The following is a 21869-nucleotide window of genomic DNA, read 5'->3' as shown; positions in this document are numbered from 1 at the left end:
TGGGTAACAGTCATATTATATAACTACTATTATAGGTCACTTTATTAACTTGGCCAAAGATTTAACTTCATTATTTAACTCAGTGGAATTTTTTGTTTTATTAAGGTGATTAAAAATAGTACATTATTTTTAAGCCCCGAAATGATAATTTTGTCTCACTTTTGATGGATTCCTTCTTCCAGTATTCCAACTGTGTGCCCATTTGTGAATTAATCAGTAATTTATGCTTACTAATCACTAGTCAATACATTTTAACATGTATGTGCTAATGCCCTAGTCTCATTTTAACACCATCTTTGTAGTGATAGTCCAAACTATCACTTGAATATGAAATCATACTCAACAGCCAGATAAATGAGACCAGGAAATTAAAAACAGAACCAAGAATGCATCTGAGTAATTTTTTATCATGAGTTTATTATTGCTTATGAACTTAAGTGACTAATTCCCTGGACAGTGAGTTTCCTTGGAACTAGTATATTTCATCTGACAAACACCTAGAAAAATGATATAAGAACAGGTTTATCCTTGTCACTTCACACTATAATTGTTTTCTTCAAGAGCTTCCAAAAAATTTTTCACCAGTATTGCAGTTGGAACACTCATTATTCTCACCTGCCTTCCTGGGCTCTGCATGCATCTTGGGGCCAGGTAAATTCATGATCGTACTCATCCTTGTAAACATCAACCACTTTCCAAAATGTAAACTGCTCCAGTCAATTCCAGTCAATATTATCACATAATTTTATGTATGCTCCTATATTCTCCTACATGCCCCCTTTCTTCGTCTGTAGATGACATTTCATTTTTTGTGCCTTCTGTAAGTTAATACCTCTATAAATAATTTCTTCACAAAGCAACTTTCATTGTTATATATATTCCGATAGTCTCTCTCTCTCTCTCCCTCTCTCTCTCTCTCTCTATATATATATATATATATACACTCTTATATATAGTCTTTCTTCCCATAACGAACCTGGCTCTCCCAGAACAGCATTTTCTCATAAATATGCTCATGTAGATCTTGTTCACTGACCCCAGTTCCTAGGCTACAGAACAAGTATCTGCACACTCCTTATTTCCCACTATGGGTTTCAAACTCTTCGCATTCCTCTAATATAAATATAAAAACTTCTCTTTGTTTTATACTTATGTTTGTTTATATCTTTGTCTTTATTTTTTTAATATTATCTGCTTGCTTTCTGCCCTCCATGTTTACCAGCATTGAATAGCTTTGGAACTAAGTTGATAGCTTTTCTCTCTAATCCAAGTAAAGTTTTAATTTTGGAAAAGTGTAACATTTATGTAAGTGACCTACCTGTCCAGCAGCTCAGCCACAACATTTATTCACCCTGCAAACCTCCTGTAGACTATCCCTTTATGTTGCTTCATTCCTCCACTCCTATTAATGTGGTTATTTACTGAATTTATAAAAGTTAATAAACCTTGATATAGGATTTTTTTCTCATTAAACCAGTGCTTCTAACTCCATCCACCAGTCTTCTTATTGCTTTATTTTTAGTTTATGCAGTCTACATTCCAGGGTGCAACACTGTTAACACATTCTTGCCAGCATGCTCAACATTCTAAATCTTTTGTATCTCCACACACTTGCTTTGTGTCAGCAAACTGGAACCAATGCAACTAACATTGATTCCTTCTCTGCTTCATAAGTGGCTGCTTGCTTCTAGCTAGTAACATAGAGAATCTCTTCAGTTCTACTTTCAAATGGCCTTCCAACATTAGTATGCTACCTATAATTATTGATCAATTGCTTTGAATATTTGGGTTTTTTCTGTCTTATTGCCTCTCTTTGTGTTGACACTTTTTCAAGTATTTTATCTGATTCTTAATTTATCTTCTTCCATGGGCTTTCTACTTAACACACTTTGCCAACTATTATGCTGTTAAGTACAGTACTGTAGACTGGCTCAAATTTGCCTGTAAATTCAGCAGTAGTCCTACTACAATTTCAGTTAAGTGAAAAGCTCTGTACATCCTAGTTGTTAATAATTATTGTATTTTTTGCTATCACATCATAGCAATTTTTAAAATGTCACTGTTACTTAAGAACATTCTAGATAAAGCAATAAAAGTAATTGATTTTATTAAATACTGATCCTTGAGTACAGATCTTTCTAATAGTCTAAAAGACAAAGTGAAAGATATAAATGAAGCCAGCTTCTTCATATAGAACTATGGTAGTTTTCTCTAGGAGAAGAATGTATTTGATTGTTGAGTTATGAGCTAAACAAGTTTTTTTTAAGAACACCATTTTTACTTGGAAAGTCATGGTTATTTAGATCTCAAACACACATGAAGTGAGACTGTCATTTAAAAAATGAAGCTGTTTTGCCAATGATAAACTGTAAGCTTTTAAGCTAAAATTAAAATTTTGGAAAACATATTCACTACTATGGCATTCACAGTTTCCCAGTACTTAAAGAGACTTTACTGAAGGGAATAGTAGTGATATTAATGAATGTAATGTTTTACCTTGTGTAATAAAATATGTTAATAATTGGAAAATTTTTATTATTCAGTGAACCAATATTTCCCAAGTGACCAGTGCATAATGTTTCAAAACCATGCATGAGAAAAGGGGCCATTCAAATTGTAAGACAGATCAATGGATTTTAATGTAATATTAATATGGATATGGATATCATATTTAACATGCCTCTCAAAGAAGTCACTGCTTGTTAATTTTGGAACAGTATCAAAGAATTATATCCACATAATCTGAAAAGTCTATTGAAAATACTCATCTTTAACCCTACTATCTATCTGTTAAAGGCTGTTTTTCTTGATATATTTTAAATGAAATGATGCATTTGCAAAAGGTTGAATGCAGAGCAGATAGAAATTCCAGCTTTGTTCCACAATTCCAGATATTTAAAAAGTTTTCAAAATATTAAAAAGCCCCTCTTTATTTTTCACATGGTAGTTATTTTCTTAAAATGTTATTTACATACACATATGGTTCAAGGGTAAGTCTAGTTTTTGAATGAACTATTAGTAAATACTTTTAAACTGTTTAATATATATTTCCAATGCACTACATATTAATAAATATAGGCCACACAAATGAAATACTTCTTTGACTTTTATTTTAAGTGCAGGGGCACAAATGCAGGTTTGTTACATAGGTAAACTTGTGTCATGGGGGTTTGTTGTACAGATTATTTCATCACCTAGGTATTAAGCCCAATACCCATTAGTTATTTCTCTCCTCATACCCCGAAATACTTTTACGGTCCTCAATAATATTCATGAAAATAGAAGGATCTTTTAAAGAAAAAGTTTGAGAATTGAGGAGTTTCATTGAAAATATTTCAGGGATGAAAAGAGATATTTAGGAGTTATTAATCTAAAATATACAAATTGTCTAAAAGGAAAAAAGTGCATGTGAATATCAATAAGAAAAAATAAAGGATTAAGCTAGCTCACTTTTATATTTCTGCATACATATATTTACATATACTGTAAATTTTTATATTATACATGTACAAAAATTAACATATTAAATTAAATATTTCAAATGATATCTCTGGGATAGATATTTTCATCTCTTTTGATAAGTAAATAGAATCCTACAACATTTATATGACTTGTGAAATTTTACACCATAAGTAAGTGACGTCCCAGATATTTACCCAGTTATTTTCACACAAAGGTTTGTTAATCACTTTAACTAACATTACATATAATAAAATGTGGAATTCATTTTCCAAAGGACTTAGAAGCATTAAAAGAAGAATCCTTTCAGATGTAAACATTGAAGTGATCAAGAAAAGCAAGAGTTTTGCCCTCATAGAATTGCAAGAGTTGAGGAAAAGGGGAGTTGGGGAAGAAGCTTGTAACATAATGTATAGATATATAGCAATTATTTTGAGGGATCCATATATACTCTGGAACATCTTTCTAAAGACAGTAATATACACACTGAGATCTAAAAAATAGGTAGGAAAGGTATGGAGAGAGGACAGTTTAGAGATAGACCACAGGTAAACAACACCATGAGGAAAACAGGGAATTATAAATAATCAGTAAGATTAGAGTATACAGAGCAAAGGTAGGATGCCCAGTAAAAAGGTTGGAGAAGTGATTACAGCCCAGATCTTAACATTTTTTGTAAATCAGATTTGGAGGGGAGGGGGAAACCATGAATATGCTTTAAGGAGGATTTTGAATAGAAATGCACTGTATTAGGATTCTCTGGAGTTAGAATCAGTAGAATATATACAGTCATGCACTGCATAATAACATTTTGTTCAATAAAATACTGCATATATAGTGGTGGTCCCATAAGATTATAATGAAGCTAAAAAAACTCCTATCTTCCGATGACGTGGTAGTTCAATGTCATAGCTCAATGCATTACTAATGTGTTTGCGGTGATACTCGTGTAAATAAATCTACTGTACTGCCAGTTATATGAAAATATAAGCATATATTGTTATGTAAAATACATAATGCTTGATAATGATAAGGATAATAAATAGCTATGTTACTGGTTTACATATTTACTATACTATACTTTTTATTGTTATTTTAGAGTACACTCCTTTTTCTTATTAAAACAAGTTCACTGAGAAAGAGTATGCCATGTTACATTGGCAGTGGCTTCATACATATCTTGTTTTCTGTGTCTCTTGATTGCATCATTTCCTCTTGTGCTTGATTTAATCTCATGTAGTTTTGTTTATCATGGCCTCCCAGCATGCAAAACTCACTGCTAATGTTGCCAGTAAGAGGCCCAATTGAGTGATTGACCTGAAAATAAAAGGTGATTAAGAACTACAAAGGTGAAAAAAATCAGTGATGATTATTACACACAAGTCAGGCACATCCCTTTCCACAATGGCTATAATCTTGAAGAGCAAGAACAAAATGACAGAAGCTGTTAAAGGATCTGTTTTATTGAAGGCAATGAGAGTAACAACAATTTGAGAACGGCCTATATCAGATATGGAGAAACTTCTAATCACCTGGATTGAAGACTAGACATAGAAGTGTATCTCTCTCAGCACGATTACAATCACAGCCAAAGCAGAAAGGTTCTTTGCGATGTTGAAAGAAAAAGCTGAACCCACCTATGATATTGAATTTATTCTTAGCTCTGGGTGGCTTAAACAATTCAAGAATTGTTATTAATTACATAATTTGAAAGTGAGTGGTGAGTCTGTGAGTTCAAATGTGAAGGCAGGTAAGGAATGTTTGGAAACTAGATAAACTGATTGTGGAGGAAAATTACCTGCCAGATCTTCAATGAGAATGAAAATTCTCTGTTCTGGAAGTGGATGACTGAAAAGACTTTCATTTATAAGAAGACCAAATCAATGCCAGGTTTCAGGGCTTTTAAGGACAAAATAACGTCTTATTTGGGGAGCAATGATGCTGGCTGTAAATTGAAGCCCTTTATGATTTGGCACAGTAAAAAAAAAAAAAAAAAGAAAAGAAAAGAAAAGAAAAAAAACAAAACAGGCCTTCCAGCATATCAGTAGGCACTCACTGCCAGTTTACCACAGGAGCAATAAGAAGACATAGGGGAGTCAGCTCCTCTTCTAAGATGCCCTCTTGAATTGCTATGCCAGCAAAATGGAAAAGTATTCTTTGGAGAATAACATAGCTTTCAATATTTTGCTTATTGTTGATAATGCTCCTGAATATCCTCCTTGTATTGGTAATCTTCATCCCAACATCGAAATGGTGTTTGGAGGCAGAAACCACTTTGATCCAACCAATGAATTAATAAGCTATAGCAGCTTTTAAAGATTACTACCTGAGGAAGATTTTTAACCAGGCTATTGCTGCAACTAAGGAAGACACTGAGAAGACACTAATGCAATTGTGGAAGGACATCTATGACTGAGAACCTTGCTTGGGTTTAGGATGACGTCACCAAAGATCGCATTAATGGCATGTGGAAGAAGACACACAAGAAGTTTGTTCATGACTTCAAAGGATTTGTCAAGGATGATGAGGTTGCAAAAAGAAATAAGGCTATGATTGAGATGGCAGACAAATTTAACTTGGGTGTGGGTGAGGATGAATTGAGGAGCTCTTAGAGGTGGTTCTTGAGAAACTGACTAATGAGGAGTTGTTGGAACTGGAACAGGAATGGATAGCTGAAGAATAGACAAAAGAAAAGAAAACTGCAAGAGAAGAAAAAGAAAAAGTAAAAGGATAGTCCCCCCAAATTCATAGTGAATGGTTTAGCAGAATTTTTCTTAGACCTCAGCAATCTCCTTGAAAAGTTTAAAAACATGGACTTCAACAGCAAAAGGTTGTAATTAATAGAGAAAAATGGTACATTTTGTGCCAAGAAGTAAATATATCATGAAACAAAGAAACCAAGCAAACCACCATGGACATATTTTTGAAAAGTGTGACACCTCCTTAAGAAGAGCCTTAGGCAGGTCCTTCAGGAGGTTTTACAGAAGGCATTGTTATCATAGGAGACAACAGCGCCAGACATGGTTTTGCCACTACAAACCTTCAGTAAGACAAGATGTGGAGATGGAAGGCAGTAATGTTAATAACCCTGATCCTGCGTAGGTCCAGGCTCATGTGTATGTTTGTGTCTTAGTTTCAACAAAAAATTTTACAAAGAATAAAAAAACTAAAAAAAACAAAAAAGCATATAGAATAACAACATAAAGAAAATATTTTCTACAACTATACAATGTATTTGTGTTTTAAGCTACATGTTACTACCAAAGAGTCAAAAAAGTTACATAAAGAGGTTTTAATGTAAAAACATGACAGTAAGCTAAGGTTAACTTATTATAGATGAAAGAAAATTTTTAAAATAAATTTAGTGTAGACTAAGTATACAGTGTTTATAAAGTCTACTGTTGTGTCAATAATGTACAGTTATGTCCTAGGCCTTCACATTCATTTCACCACTCACTGCCTTACTCAGAAGCATTCCTGCAAGCTCCCTTCATGGTAAGTGCGCTATACAAGTGTACCATTTTAACTTTTTTTTTTTTTTGAGACGGAGTCTCGCTCTGTCGCCCAGGCTGGAGTGCAGTGGCGCGATCTGGGCTCACTGCAAGCTCCGCCTCCCGGGTTCACGCCATTCTCCTGCCTCAGCCTCCCGAGTACTCCCGAGTAGCTGGGACTACAGGCACCTGCCACTATGCCCCGCTAATTTTTTGTATTTTTAGTAGAGACGGGGTTTCACCGTGTTAGCCAGGATGGTATCGATCTCCTGACCTCTTGATCCGCCCGCCTCTGCCTCCCAAAGTGCTGGGATTACAAGCGTGAGCCACAGCGCCCGGCCCATTTTCACTTTTATATTGTATTTTTATTGTACCTTTTCTATGTTTGTGTCTGTTTAGATACACAAATACCTTTGTGTTACAATTGCTTACAGTATTCAGTACAGTAACGTGCTGTGTAGATTTGTAGCCTGGGAGCAATAGGCTGAATCTATTGCTGTGTAGTATGCTATACCACCTAGGTTTATGTAAGTACATTTGGTAATGTTTCCACAATGATGAAATTCCCTAACAATGTATCCTTGCTGTTAAGCCATTCATGATTGTATCGGCTCATGTGATTATGGAGGCTTGAGAATCCCCATGATATGCCATCTGCAAGCTGGAGACCCAGGAAAGCTAGTGGCATAATTCAGTCTAAGTCTGAAGGTCTGAGAATCACAGGAGTCAGTGGCGTAACTCCCTGTCTAAGGCTGAACTCCTAATAATCAAGAACTGCCCATGGGTGAAGGCAAGAGAAGATGAATGTTCCAGCTTAAGGAGAGACAATGAATTTGCTGCAGGACAGGCAAGCCCCAAAATGACAGCTAAGCCCAGAAGAGTTCTTGGTTTAACCCAGGAAAGAATTCAAGGGCAAGCCAGTGGTATTAAAAAGCAACTTTTATTGAAGCAGCAGTGTACTGAAGCAGCAGCAGAAGCACTGCTCCTTGTGGAGCAGGGATACCCCGTAGGCAGTGTGGCCAGAGTAGCAGCACAGAGGCAGTTCTGCAGTATTTATATCCAATTTTAATTATATGCAAATTAGGGGGCAGTTTATACAGAAATTTCTGGGAAAAGGGTGGTAACTTCCAGATTGTTGGGTCATTGTCATGGAAAGGGGTGGTAACTTCTGGGTGTTGCCATGGCAATGGTAAACTCTCATGGCATACTGGTAGGCGTGTGTTTAGGAAAGCTGTTTCCACTCCTGACCTGTTTTAGCTAGTCCTCAATTTGGTCCCATGTTCAAGCCCCACCTTTGGAGTTGAGTCCCATCTCCTACTTCAAATTCAGACTTCCTCCAAATTTTTTTGTTTTTTTTTTTTTGTCCTCAACAGATTGGATGATGCCTGCCCATATTGATGAGGGAAGATGTTCTGTACTCAGTCTCCTGATTCAAACATTCATCTTTTCCAGAAATATTCTCACAGACACAGCCAGAAATAATGATTTTACCAGTTCTTTCAGTATCCTGGTAAAGTTGACACACACACAAAAAATAGCTATCACACTCATTTTCACTGCATTGCAGAGGGGTCAAACCTCAAGTTTAGGGAGATCTTTTAGGGATTAATAAATCAGAAAAAAATGGATATGGGATGAATCAGGTGGTTACAATGAGTTAATGGAGATGGAAAACTGAAATATCTGAAATTTAAGAACAATTGAAAGAAACTATGATTGATTGGGTATAGGAGTAAAGAAGAAAAAGGAATGAAGATTTGTTTAATTCCAATGTGCAAAGAGTGCCACAAATATATTGACTGTGTTTAAGCAGAGTTAACTATATTAATTATCTACACCAAGAGGAATTACATACAAAGGGTCTTCTTGGTAAGAAAAAATTACAGTGTGTTAATTAGCTGATTGGAAGAGAGTTCAAGAATTCAGTGCTGACAGAAAGTGAGGGCAATTTGATGACTGGATCTCCAAATAATTTATGTCTAAGAGGTGGGTGTAAGTACTTGCAGCCAGGTTTCTCATTGGTAATGAAAAAGCAGTAATTCATTTCAGCCAGAAGAAGAAATGGTTTGATCATTTTACGGTGGTATAGAGTCCTTCTTTTCTATAATATTTGGGCATGATTACAAAATGGTCTTTCATTTATCTTGTTCCACCACAGTCACAAAATGACCTCGTCTAATTTTTCTTGAGCATTTTCCAGTAGAGAATACTATAACCTAGTTAATAACTGCTCCCAGGGACATTTATTTTAATTAATTTTTTCTCTTTTGCAATCAGCCCCATTTTATGGAAGGGCAGAGTATATCAATCTGGTGATTCAGGTTTGTGTTATTGCTGAATTCTATTGATCAGAAAATGGAAAATGTTAACTGTGATTAGATTAAAGTTGTTCTGTCCTGTTCCTTTTGTTATAGGATAAATTGTTGGATCAACTCATGTGATAATGGTTGTGAGGTAGGATTTAAGATTCTTATAAAAACCCATCATCCAACTGTATTTAGGAAATTACCAGAAACAAAGTGATTGTCAGTCCCCGTAATTAGGTTTCAGTATCAAGGACCTAACCCAGGCCACAAAGTTGTTGTTTTCAAAATCTATCTAGGTCTCTTCTAGAGAGCCACATGGCCTTCTCCTTTAGCCTAGGAAAAAGTATGAAAGTACTTGACATGACTAAGAAACTGATACAATTCATTACATTTTTAACATAAAGTGAAAGAGGCTAGTAGACCAGGCCAGAATGTTGTGCCTGTGGGTCTTACATCCTAGGCTAGAAAATTTTGATCTTTTGTCTATATGCAACAGGAAATTTTTGAAAAATTTTTTTCTTGAAAGATGACTTTGGTTTTGCATTTTAGAAAAAGAAAACACTCTTGTCCTAATGTGAAAATGAAAAAGAGATAAAAGTTGAAAAACAAGAGCTGGAGATAATCTGTGTTTAAAAAGTATATCACTAAAGATAAATTATTGCAAATAAAGTCAAAAAAAGGAAACAAGGTCAGGCATGGTGGCTCACTCCTGTAATCCCAGCACTTTGGGAGACTGAGGTGGGTGGATCACTTGAGGTCAGGAGTTCAAGACCAGCCTGGCCAACTTGGTGAAATCCTATCTCTACTAAAAATACAAAAAATTAGCTGGGGGTGGTGGTGTGCACCTATAATCCCAGTTACTCAAAAGACTGAGGCAGGAGAATAGCTGGAACCCAGGAGGCGGAGGTTGCAGTGAGCCAAGATTGCACCACTGCACTCTGGTCTAGACGACAGAGCTAGAATCCGTCTCAAAAAAAAAAAAAAGGAAAAAAGATTGCATTAATATTAAGATGTGAAGGAGGATATTAGGAAAATAGATTCATGTAATTTGATTCGCAGATGTTTGGCATCACTAGTTAGGAAAGAATATTACCATGATATTGTGAATACTAAGTAAAAACATATTTTGAGAGAGAACAATTTGATGAAGATTATATAAATAATAATTGTGATATCTGACTTTTTTATCAACGTGACTGGGTTAAGGGATGCCAGACAGCTGGAAAAACATTTCTGGGTGTGTCTGTGAGTATGGTTTTGGAATAAACTAGTATTTGAATCAGTACACTCAGTAAAGAAGATCTGCTCTCACCAATGTTGGTGGGCATCACCCAATCCACTAATAATTTGGATAGAACAAAAAGAGAAAGGGCTAGTGCTTCATCTGTTTTCTTGTGCTGGGACATCCATCTTCTGCTCTTGGACATCAGAGCACCTGGTCCTTCAGCCTTCAGACTTGGGGACACCAGTGCCTGCTCCCACTTTCTGGTTCTCAGGCCTTTGGCCTTAAACTGGGAGAGGCATCATTAGCTTCCCTGGTTCTCAGGCTTTTGGACTCAGACTGAATTATACTATCAAGTTTTCTGAGCCTCCAGCTTGCAGACAGCACGTTGTGGGACTTCTCAGCCCCCATAATTGCATGACTCAATTATCATAATATATCTTCTCTTATCTACAGTAAATTCTCATTTAATATCATTAGTAAATTCTTGGAAAATATGAGCTTAAGCAAAAATATGTATAACAAAGCCAATGTTTTTCTTCTCATCAACATTATAATGAAACAACCAACATTGAAAGAAACAGGAAACAACCTTATTTGAAGACCTGCTGTACATTGTTTTGCTTAAAGAACCTATCAACAAAGTTAAGTGAGGACTTATTGTATAACTATATTTATCCTATTGGTTTGGCTTCTCTGGAAAATGGCTTCAGTAAGTGTGAGGTTCCTATTGAAACCACAAGTGGTAATATCTAGTTAGGAATAGAAGGAAGCATATTTTTCACTAAATTCCATGTCTCTACAATACAAACTAAACGTATATTGTGTTTTCATAAGAGCAAAAATGATCAAACATATATATAGAAATTATATTCACTATAAAAATACTCAGTATAATTGCAGATGTAGTTCAAATTTATAAGTTGAAAATATTAGTGAATAATGTTAATATTTTTTATATTGCAAAGTATTTTTCTCAAATTTCTCTGCTTAGAGGTAGTGGAATTCACATCACAGAAGTATTTGGAAACTGTAGTTTAAGACAGAAAAGCATTTTATATTACTTATTGCCAACTGGACAATTTCAAGAATTTTAATATTGACTTCTCCATTAGATTAAATAAATAAATGGACATTTAAAAATAATTAACCATATACGTGATCACCTCTTTATCATTCCTGGTAATTTTTTTTCAGGAAGAATCAGATAGGCACAATCAGGGTACTGGAAGTCCTGATTACTCAGAGACGTTAATCGCATACTATGTGAACCCCAATCATGTCCTAATTTGCCCTCCAAAAGAAGGAACAGGTAAAGATTATCCCAGCTGATAATATCTGGTGATATTTAAGAAGTATAATTTCCAGACTTTATATGATCACTTTCTATATCAAAGTAGGACTTAGAAATAGTAATATCAATAGTAATAGTTTGCTTTATTTTATGTAAATAAAATAGCCCCTGATCTCCTTTTAGGAACCAATGTATAATGTATAAATTTACAAATATTAATATAAAGTGCATTCTAGGACAGGTTTAAAAATGTCATTTTCTTTGCAGTTAATATTTCTTTGTTAGCACCATTTAACCTTTAGCAAATTTGGTTTTTGTAGTATACTCTTAAAAATCACCACTTTTTGTCACTCTCTAGATATTTGATGTCGAAATCCACATAACATAAACAGAACACTACTATCACTAGTCACGGTATTTTACTATTCATTCACTATTGGAAAGATAAAACATAAAATGCAACAAAAAATAAAAATATAAAAATCTCACTTGAAGACGGCACTTTTAATGGTATTGTCGTTTTTAATTACCTCTGGAATATAATATTTTATGCTATTTTATTTACATATTAAACTTGTTAATATTTAAGAGGAAATTCAATGTTTCACTTTTTCCTTAAAGTCATTATCTAGTTTATTCCTCAAAATGACACTTAAGCAATCAGGAAAAAATAAATAAATAAAAATAAATAAATAAAAAACTGCTGATAAAACTGTTCCTTAGAAAATATAAGAACAATTTTCTCTCTGTTAATTTTGTCCAGAAACAATTAGTAATTCACAGAATCCAGAACTGCATGAATTTATAACAAATGAACGTATATTTTAATATAAAATTAGTACAAGTTTAGAAAAATCATGTACTCATTTAAATTTTATTCCACTCAGGAATCAGTAAAATACATTAACTTAAATAATGACACAAATTGAAAAATACCTATCAGTCAAGTGATTAGGAGCAGAAACAATGAAGACTGTCTGAGTTGAGCTGTAAGTTCTAACGCTTCCAAGTTCTGTAATATTGGGCAAGATTTTAAAAGCTTTTTGTGCCTCAGGCTTTTGCATCTATAAAAGAAAAATACTTAATATAACAATGTTGAGAGAATTGAATAACAATAAATCTTAAGGACTTGAACAGTGTATCATGTATAATAAGCACAATATAAATGTTAGGTGATAGTGATGAGGTTGATTATTTTCTTTAATAATTTATTTTAATGTGCATGGTGGTCAGTTTCTAGGACAGTGTCCTTATATATAACAATAATATATTCATTTTTTCTCAATAATTGCAAACTATTGTAAGAAAAAAATTTTTTAAAAAGTTGAAATAATATTTTTTTCATTCTGTCACATGAGTTAACATATGAAGTATAATCATATAGTCACATGAATTAAAAGTGTTCAAATACTTAACTAGAACAAGATTCAGTATTCTGTGAAAAATAAAGAATATGTACTTATATGACAGTGACAACTAATAATAGATTATCTTCTTCTTAATGTGGAAGGAAATATAAATCCTCTACATTTAACTTCACAACAAAATTGAAAGAAAATATAATTATGACAATAACTGTCAATCTTCTTTAATGCATGTTTTTAAAATTGACCAACTAAAACATAAAAGGAGAGAAAAAGAAGAAAATTGATAATGATTTAGTGTCGATTGTGTGGTAGGCGTTGTTCTAGTTACTATGAGCATTTAGAGCTATTTAATACACTGATACACCGATAGTATTCTATGACATTTAAATTAATATCTTCATTATTCTTATATGTCACACAATTTTAACAGCTTTTTGAGGTATTATTGATATAGAAAACCTGCTCATATTTAATGTGTCCACTTTCATGAATTTGCACATATATGAACATCACCACAAACAAGATAATAGACATGTCCAATATCTCCTAAAGTTTCCTTGTGTCCATTTTTTTGTAGAGAGCATATGAACACAACACAAGATATCCTTTTTAAACAGATTTTGAAGTGCACAATACCATATTAAATATAGGTACTATGTTGCACAGAAGATCTGTTATTCATCTATCGTAACGCTTGGCAATTTCCCATATCCCGTATTTCCCAGCCCATGGCAATCAATATTCTCTGCTTCTATGAGTTTGACTATTATGAATATCTCATATAAGTGGAACTATGAAGTATTTGTCCGTTTATGACTAGTTTCTTTTACTTAGCATAATGTCCTCCAACTTCATCCATGTTACAAATGGCAGGATTCTTCTCTTTTTCTAAGGCAAAATGATGATCCATTGTATTTATTTGTCACATTTTTAATCTACTCATCTGTTGATGGACAGTTGTTTTGACCTGATCCCTGACAAGAGTGGAAAGAATACACAACGTGGAAAGGAAATTGTCTTCAACAAATGCTATTGAGATCACTTGGTATCCCCGAGTAAAAGACTGATGTTGGACTCCTACCTTACACTATTTACAAAAATTAACTCAATCAAATAACCTAAATGTAAGAGCTAATACTATAAAGCTTTTAGAAGAAAATGATTACAACTTTATTACCTTGAATTTGACAATGGATTCTTAGACATGACACCAAAAATGCAAGTAACAAAATCTAAAACAAGCAGATAAATTAAACCCCATTAAAATGAAATACTTTTCTGCTTCAAAGGCATTATCAAGAAAGTTAAAATACAACCTATAAAATGGGAGTGAATATTTGAAAATCACATATAAGATAAAGGTGATATATGCAGAATATATAAATAATTCTCACCACGCAACAACAAAAAGTGAAATAAACCAATTTAAGTATGAGCAAAAGATATACAAATGCCCAAGAAGTACATGAAAAGTTGCTCAACATCGTTAGTCACCATAGTAACTAATGCAAATCAAAACCACAATAAGATACCATCTTATATCCATTAGAATGGCTATAACTACACACAAAGCAAAAATAAGCAAAAAAACAGAAAATAACAAGTGTTAGTGAAGATACAAGGAGACACTCTTAAACCTTGCTGAAAGGAATGTAATTTATTCAGCCATTGTGGGAAAAAGTTTGTCAGTACCTCAAAAAATTAAATCTGAAAGTATTATATGACCCAGGATTCTCCTCGTAGGTATTTACCAAAAAAATTAAAAACAGATACTCAAGCAAAAACTTGTACATGGATGTTAACAGCAGCACTATTCACAATAGCCAAAAGGTGGAAACAACCTAAGTTTATCAACCGACAAATGGGCAAACAAGATGTGGTATATCCATATGATATAATAATATTCAGCCATAAAATAATGAAGGACTGAAGCTTGCTATAACATAGATAAACCTCAAAAACATGCTTCGTAAAATAAACCAAACATAAAAGGTCATTTTTATAGTTGCATGATTATTACCATTACATGATTACATTTATAGAAAGTATTTAAATAAATACATACAGAGAGAATGCAGTTTGTTTCCAGGGACTGAAGGGACAGTGGGGGAGTGGAGGATGGGGAATGAATATTTATATGTATGAATTTGGGGGATATGTGATAAAAATGTTTTGGAACTAGACAGATAATGGTGATTGTACAATATTGTAAATATACTAAACACTACCAAATTGTTTATATTAACATGGTTAATTTTATGTTATGTGTATTGTACCTCAATAAAAAAAACAAATATACAGCTTCTTAGGAAGGTGGGGTAGAGTTCAAAATTCATCTTATGGAGGAACAAGCATGTAAAAGAGTTAGAAGATGGAAACAAAATTGTTGAGTGAGGTAATTAGATTTGGACAGAAGTGATGTTTATGCCTCAGAGAGAGGAGAAAAATAGATAGGATGTTTGATCAACTGCGAGACAAGTAATATTTAAGACATTTATTTTATCTTTCATTTCTTTTTTAAATAGCAGTCAGACATGAAATATTTAGGGCAGGGATACAGTAAAGGCTTTCAGAAATTTAAAATATTTTGATTAATTAGTATAGGGTCTCAATCTATTGCTCTAATATAAATACTAAGATTTACAGAAATAATACAAAATTGTGAACAATATCCAAAGAAATAAAAATCTCTGGAATGGAAGGAAATTGATCTCCAGGGTGATATTTTATGCCATCTTTAATGTCTATCATGAGATATGTTGCTACACAATTATAGAATTCAAGGGTCCAAGAATCATGATGATATTAGATTTATCAAGAGCATCAACTGGAAAAAATAAATCAATGAAAAACTTATTCAATATTTTGGTTAAATTAATTTCATAGAATTTAATATCAACATCAACTACCAATAAAAACAGATGGTAGAATAAAGTTGTTTTCAGATATACAAAAATTTCAAAATTTTTTTTGCTGTAAACATTTAAGTTGTCTACCAACGTTAGATTCCCTTGTTTTTACTGGGAACCTAGATGGACTATACTTTTTACCTCCTTGCAGTTGCATAGATAACATACAGATTCTGAACCTAGTTTTCTGAGCTGAGTGGAAATAACATGGACCACTTTGTGGACTAAGAATTGAAGAGTTGATGGGGAATTTCTGCACTTTCCACTTTACCTCCAAAGTGACAAGGGAGGACACAGTCACAAGAATAAATTAGCCCAATTCACTAAGTCACTGCTGCCCTGATGAGTCACCTAATCCACACCAGCATTAATATGAGTGAAAAATAAACCTGTGTTGTGTTTTCTGCTGAAATATTTTTACAGCCTAACTAACAGTGAATAATGAGTGATATACTCTAATAAAACAATGGGGTTACCTAAGAAAAGAAAATACAGGTGATAGAGGAAATAAGAAATCCAATAGAAAGGAAAGAAGAAAGAAAATCCAATGGAGAGTATAGAAAAAAAAAATCAATGGCAATGTTGGTTGCTTTCAGAATGAAAACTTTGCTGCTGGTCTTGTTGACAACTAGTGTTGACTTGAATAAGCTTTTAGAAGATTCTAAGACAAGACATCCTTAAGGAAAAGTAAGGAACAATGGAAATAAAAGGCTCTTAGTTGTTATTATGTTCATTCTTCTGTGCCTATTACATAATGTCATTACTGAAAGAAATTGAAATAGCATTAAAAACTGTACAGATTACTCTATGCTGAGGGCAGAAACTAGCACTTGATTAAAGACTTTAACAGATTGGCTCATTTTGGGGATCTTTTCATCTCCCTAATTACCAGTTTTTAATACAATTATGAAACTATCTTATTTTCTGACAAACTTATACAATTATTGTGAGGCTTAGTAAAATAATGATCTTAAAACAGAGAAATAATTCTCTTATTCTCCTAAATAATATAAGATCAAAATGTTTCCCTTCATAAGAAATTTTTGCTGACTGCAAGATCAGGGAATAATTCTCCTATCCTGTGAAATATTTTTAAAATATTTAATAATTGATAAAAATTAATAAAAATAATTTTTATTAAACAACAAAAAGTGAAATTATTTTACAAATGCAGGGTAGTAGTGTTATTTTGTAGGTTGAAACTCTGACAAATTTTTTCTTAAGTTTGAAAAAATAAATAAAAACTGTAATTTTAACTGTTTTTCTGGCTTACAGTTACGTTTTTTCTATAAACATGTATTTGATTTAGGCCCTCTTCCTATGGATATTTATATGGCATCTCAAACAAGAACAGCCTAATTTTTTTAAATGTCTATCACTCATTAGCTGTCTGACATTGGTTCTGATAAAATTTGGAATAAGGTGATGTACCACAATGTAAGAAGTCTCAGACTTGTCGTTTCCATGTCATAGTATTTCATTGCCATTTTAATTAAAGTTTTTATAACTAATGATTTGAGTGCATTTTCATATGTTTATTATCACCTCTTATGTAAAATATTTATTCAAATCTTTTACCTGTTTTTATGTTTCATATTGATTTGTTCAAAAACTTTAAAAATTATATTTATAAATATTATTTCTCTGTGCATGTTGAATTTTCACTCTTTTAATATATGTGAAAATGGGCAACAATTCTTAAATTTTAATTTATTTCAATGTATTGATCTTTCTCTTTAAGATCAGAATGTTTCCCTTCATAAGAAATTTTTCCTGGCTACAAGATCAGGGAATTATTCCCCTATCCTGTGAGATATTTAATTTCATCTAATAGTCTAATTCTGACAACTTTTCTTCAATATCTTATTTTCTATTTTTTAAATGTTCACATAAATTTTAGAATTAGCTTATACATGTAAAAAATAAAACCAACATCTGCACAATAGTATCTTTCAATCTATAAATGGATTAAAATGCTACTTTATATAAATCTTCTTCAGTTCTTCCCAGTTTTTTTCATAGAATTTCTGTGCATATTTCACTGGACTATGATGTGTTGATTTTTGATGCAATTGCAAATGATTGTTAGTTTTCCATTTTCACTGCATAAATTAAAACTATAAGTTTTCCTTGTATTTAACAATGTATCTAAATACTCATTAATCTTGTTTGTAGATTCTCTTGGATTTTCTAAATATGGTATTATGCTGCCTATAAAATCAATAAGTTCATTGTGTCTCTAATCTTCGCGTTTTATTTCTTTTGTCTTTTTGCATTAGCAAGCACTTCAAGAGTGATGTTAAGTAGTAGTGACAACAATATCCTTGTCTCATTCTCAGTCTTAAGGGGAAAACTTTCAATATTTTATATTAATATGATATATACAATTGGATTTTTAAGAATAAATTTCATAGATAAGTTTTATTTTATTTCTAGGTCACTGAAAGTTTTAATATAAACGTATGTTGAATTTTATCAACTATTTTCTACATCTATTGATATGATCATATAATTTCCTGTTTATTCTATTTATCATTAATTTCCCAATTTAAACTAACTTACAATCATGAAATAAATCACATTTGTCTTAATGTATTACCCTTTTAAAAGATAGCTGAATTTTGTTCAATAAAATGGTGTTAGAGATTTTTATATTTATGATCGTAAGCGAGATTAGCCAGTAATTTTTCTTTTCTGAAACATTCTTGTTACAATTTAGAATAAAAGTTCTGTTAACGGCCTAAGACCAAATGGTAAATGTTCATTCTTTTTATGTTATCTGGAAAACTTTTTGCAACATTGGTGCTTTTTGATATTCAGATGTTAGGGAGACTTCACCTTTGACCATCTAAAGCTGACCTCTTCGTGAGAAGGCTTTTATTTATAAACACCAGAAGCTTCAGGTGTTTATATTTCTTCTGCAGTCATTTTTAACTTGTGTTTTTCTAGGAATTTGTTTAGTAATTTTCTTATTCCCATAAAATTGCCCATTATATCCTTTTATTGTTTTCAGTACCTGTAGGATCTGTATTACAGCAATGTTATCTTTTCTATTCCTATATTGGTAATTTTCTTTTTATCAGTCTTGCTAGTATTTATCAACTTTAATAACCTTCTCAAAGAAATTGATTTTATTTTATTTTGTGACTCTATATCACAGTTTTTGGTATATGATTAATTTCTGATTTTATTTTTATTATTTTCTTTTTCCTACTGTAGAAGTTTAATTTGACATTATATTTCTAATTTAATAAGGTAGATACTTTAATCATTAATTTCATTCTTTTTTGTTCTAATGTATGTATTTTATATGTAGTTTAAGTCTATAAATTTTCTTATAAACAGCATTTTTATATGTTGTATTGCTTTTCCCATTCACTTAAAAATATTTTTTAGTTTTTATTATAACTACTTATTTATGCATGGGTTATTTATAAGTGTGTTTTCTTAAATTCCAAACAGTGGGGCTTTTCTAGTTATATTTATATTTTTATTTTTTGTAGTTGTACTATACCTGATTTAAATAATTTGAAAGTTGTGAAGAATTGTTTTGTATTCTAGTATTTCATCGATGAAATAAAATTTCCGTGTTTAAAAGAATGTCTACTTCTTAGTCCCCTATTTGTATATGCAATTTAAGTCAAGTTTGTTAATATTTTTCAGGTATTCTAAATAGTTACTGTGAAAGGAAAATATCTTGGGCCTCCAAAATCACTGAGCTGAAGGGAAAATTCAAGCTGGGAACTGCTCAAAGAAAATCTGCTTCCCATTCTATTAAGTCATCCCTCTGCTCACTGACATAGTTGCTTATTCTGATCGCCTCATTTAGAATGGTTTACCAGAAACTCAAAAGAATGCAACCATTTGTCTGTCACCTACCTGTGTCCTGGAAGCCCCCTCTGTGCTTCAAGTTGTCCCTGACTTTCTGGATGGAACCAATGTACTTCTTCCACATATTGATTGATGTCTCATGTCTCCCTAAAATGTATAAAACCAAGCTGTGCCCCTACCACCTTGCGCACATGTCCTCAGGACTTCTTGAGGCTGTGTCAGGGGTGCATCCTCAACCTCAGCAAAATAGACTTTCTAAATTAACTGAGACCTGTCTCAAATTTTCGGAGTTCACATTACTGAATTTTTTGTCTGGTTGTTTGATCAGTTACTCCCACTATAATTGTAAAGTTTTCTATTCTCTATGCTCTATTTTCATTATTTCTAAATACATTGTTATATCTATTTTATGAGTTGACCTGTTTGCTTTATCTGTTCCTCTTTATCTCTAGTAACACTCCTTGCATTTGGATACAATTGATCATACATTAGTATGACTTCATTTGGCTTTTTAAAAAATTATGTATTATATAGGGTATGTTTTCTATTCTTTCTTCTTCAACCCTCTGGGTCCTTATATTGGATGGATATCCTCTGTATGCAGAATGGAAATGTGTTTTCTTTTTAATCAGCATAAAATTGCCCTAGAAATTGCCATATCCCTGGGCAACATGATGAAAATCAGATGAAAATCTTTCCAACATGAGTAGCTTTACAGGTAAAGGATGGAGAAAAATAACTATCCCCTTCCTTCCCAAAAGAGAGAGAGAAAGAAAAGGACAAGAAAGGAACTCATTTTTTTTGTTTTGTATTGATATGGAATGGAAAGGATCCTGAGTTCTTAGCCTAATGTTAGGAATCTAAATGAGTCTTTACAAAGGGCAAGTAGATCCAATGGTTCTGGCTTTTTGACCTAGAGCCACCTCCAAGGTGTAGATTCCATACATTTTGAAGTGAAAATATCTAGGATGCTGGTGATCTAGTTATATTATCATCTAGGGATTAAGCTAGGGACCTATTCTGGGCTGTAATATTTGGTCTTCTTGAATGACGGTAATTAAGTAGACAAATAGCTAGATGCTATAGATCTAACTCTGAAGGTATGTGAAAAGTAATCTAGAAGAAATGAAAACAAACGTCTAATATTTATATTGTGAATATTCCTTGTCTTGGGAGCCCAGGGCTTTATACAGGAACACTGAGAAATCAAGAGTAGTTTTATTTTCTCACACTCATTTTTAGATCAGTATACTGTTTATTTATATGTAGAAAATATAATGCTATAGTGGGATTTGTACCTACTATTTTTCTATTTGTTTTCCACTTGATCCAACAGTTGTATGTTCTTGTTTTCTTTTCTCTTTTAGTCTTCTTTTTATTTATTAGTTTTTGTTTTGTCATTCTACTAGCTAGAGAGATACACATTTCATTACTACTAGAAATTACATGCATTGTTGAATCATTAGGGGTTAATATAACTGATTACTTTGCTTCGTAGGATAATAATATATTAGAACTCATTAAATCAATTTCTCCCTCCTATTTTTTTGTTTTGTTTTCATGCATTTATGGTTCTAAATTTTAAAAACTCATATGCATCAATGATCTTGTTTCTACAATAGATATTTATTAACATTTACCCACAAAATCACCCCTTTTGTCATTCTTCACTTCTTACTGCATATTGTTACTTTCATCTGGGATTATGTTTTTTCTGTCAGAAGAAATTTTGTAAAGTAATTCTTTTAGTACAATCTGCTGGAAACAATATTTGTTTTTGTTTGTCTGGAAATGTTTTTACTTTTAAATGATATTTTTGATGGAAGTATAATTTCTAGGTTTGCTGGTTATTTTCTTCATCACTTTAAAGGTATCACTTATTTTCTTCTCTTTTATGTAATTATTTTAGAAATAAACTGTAAATTTTATTATTTTATCTTTAAACATGACATATGTTTGGTCTTCTATATCTGTATCTGCAGGTTCTATA

The 21869-nt window shown here is 32.5% G+C and overlaps 1 non-coding gene across 1 annotated transcript; it reads right to left on the bottom strand.

The window, feature by feature from the left end:
* Positions 1 to 11680: 11680 nt before the first annotated feature.
* LOC124900518 (U8 small nucleolar RNA) lies at positions 11681 to 11813 on the bottom strand. Its single transcript, XR_007088709.1, has one exon. It is a non-coding gene; the product is annotated as a U8 small nucleolar RNA (small nucleolar RNA).
* Positions 11814 to 21869: the final 10056 nt, after the last annotated feature.

Source organism: Homo sapiens, chromosome 2 (assembly GCF_000001405.40).
Source record: "Homo sapiens chromosome 2, GRCh38.p14 Primary Assembly".
NCBI lineage: Eukaryota > Metazoa > Chordata > Mammalia > Primates > Hominidae > Homo > Homo sapiens.
The sequence above is the reverse complement of the archived record's forward strand: the minus strand, read 5'-3'. Positions and strand labels throughout refer to the sequence as shown.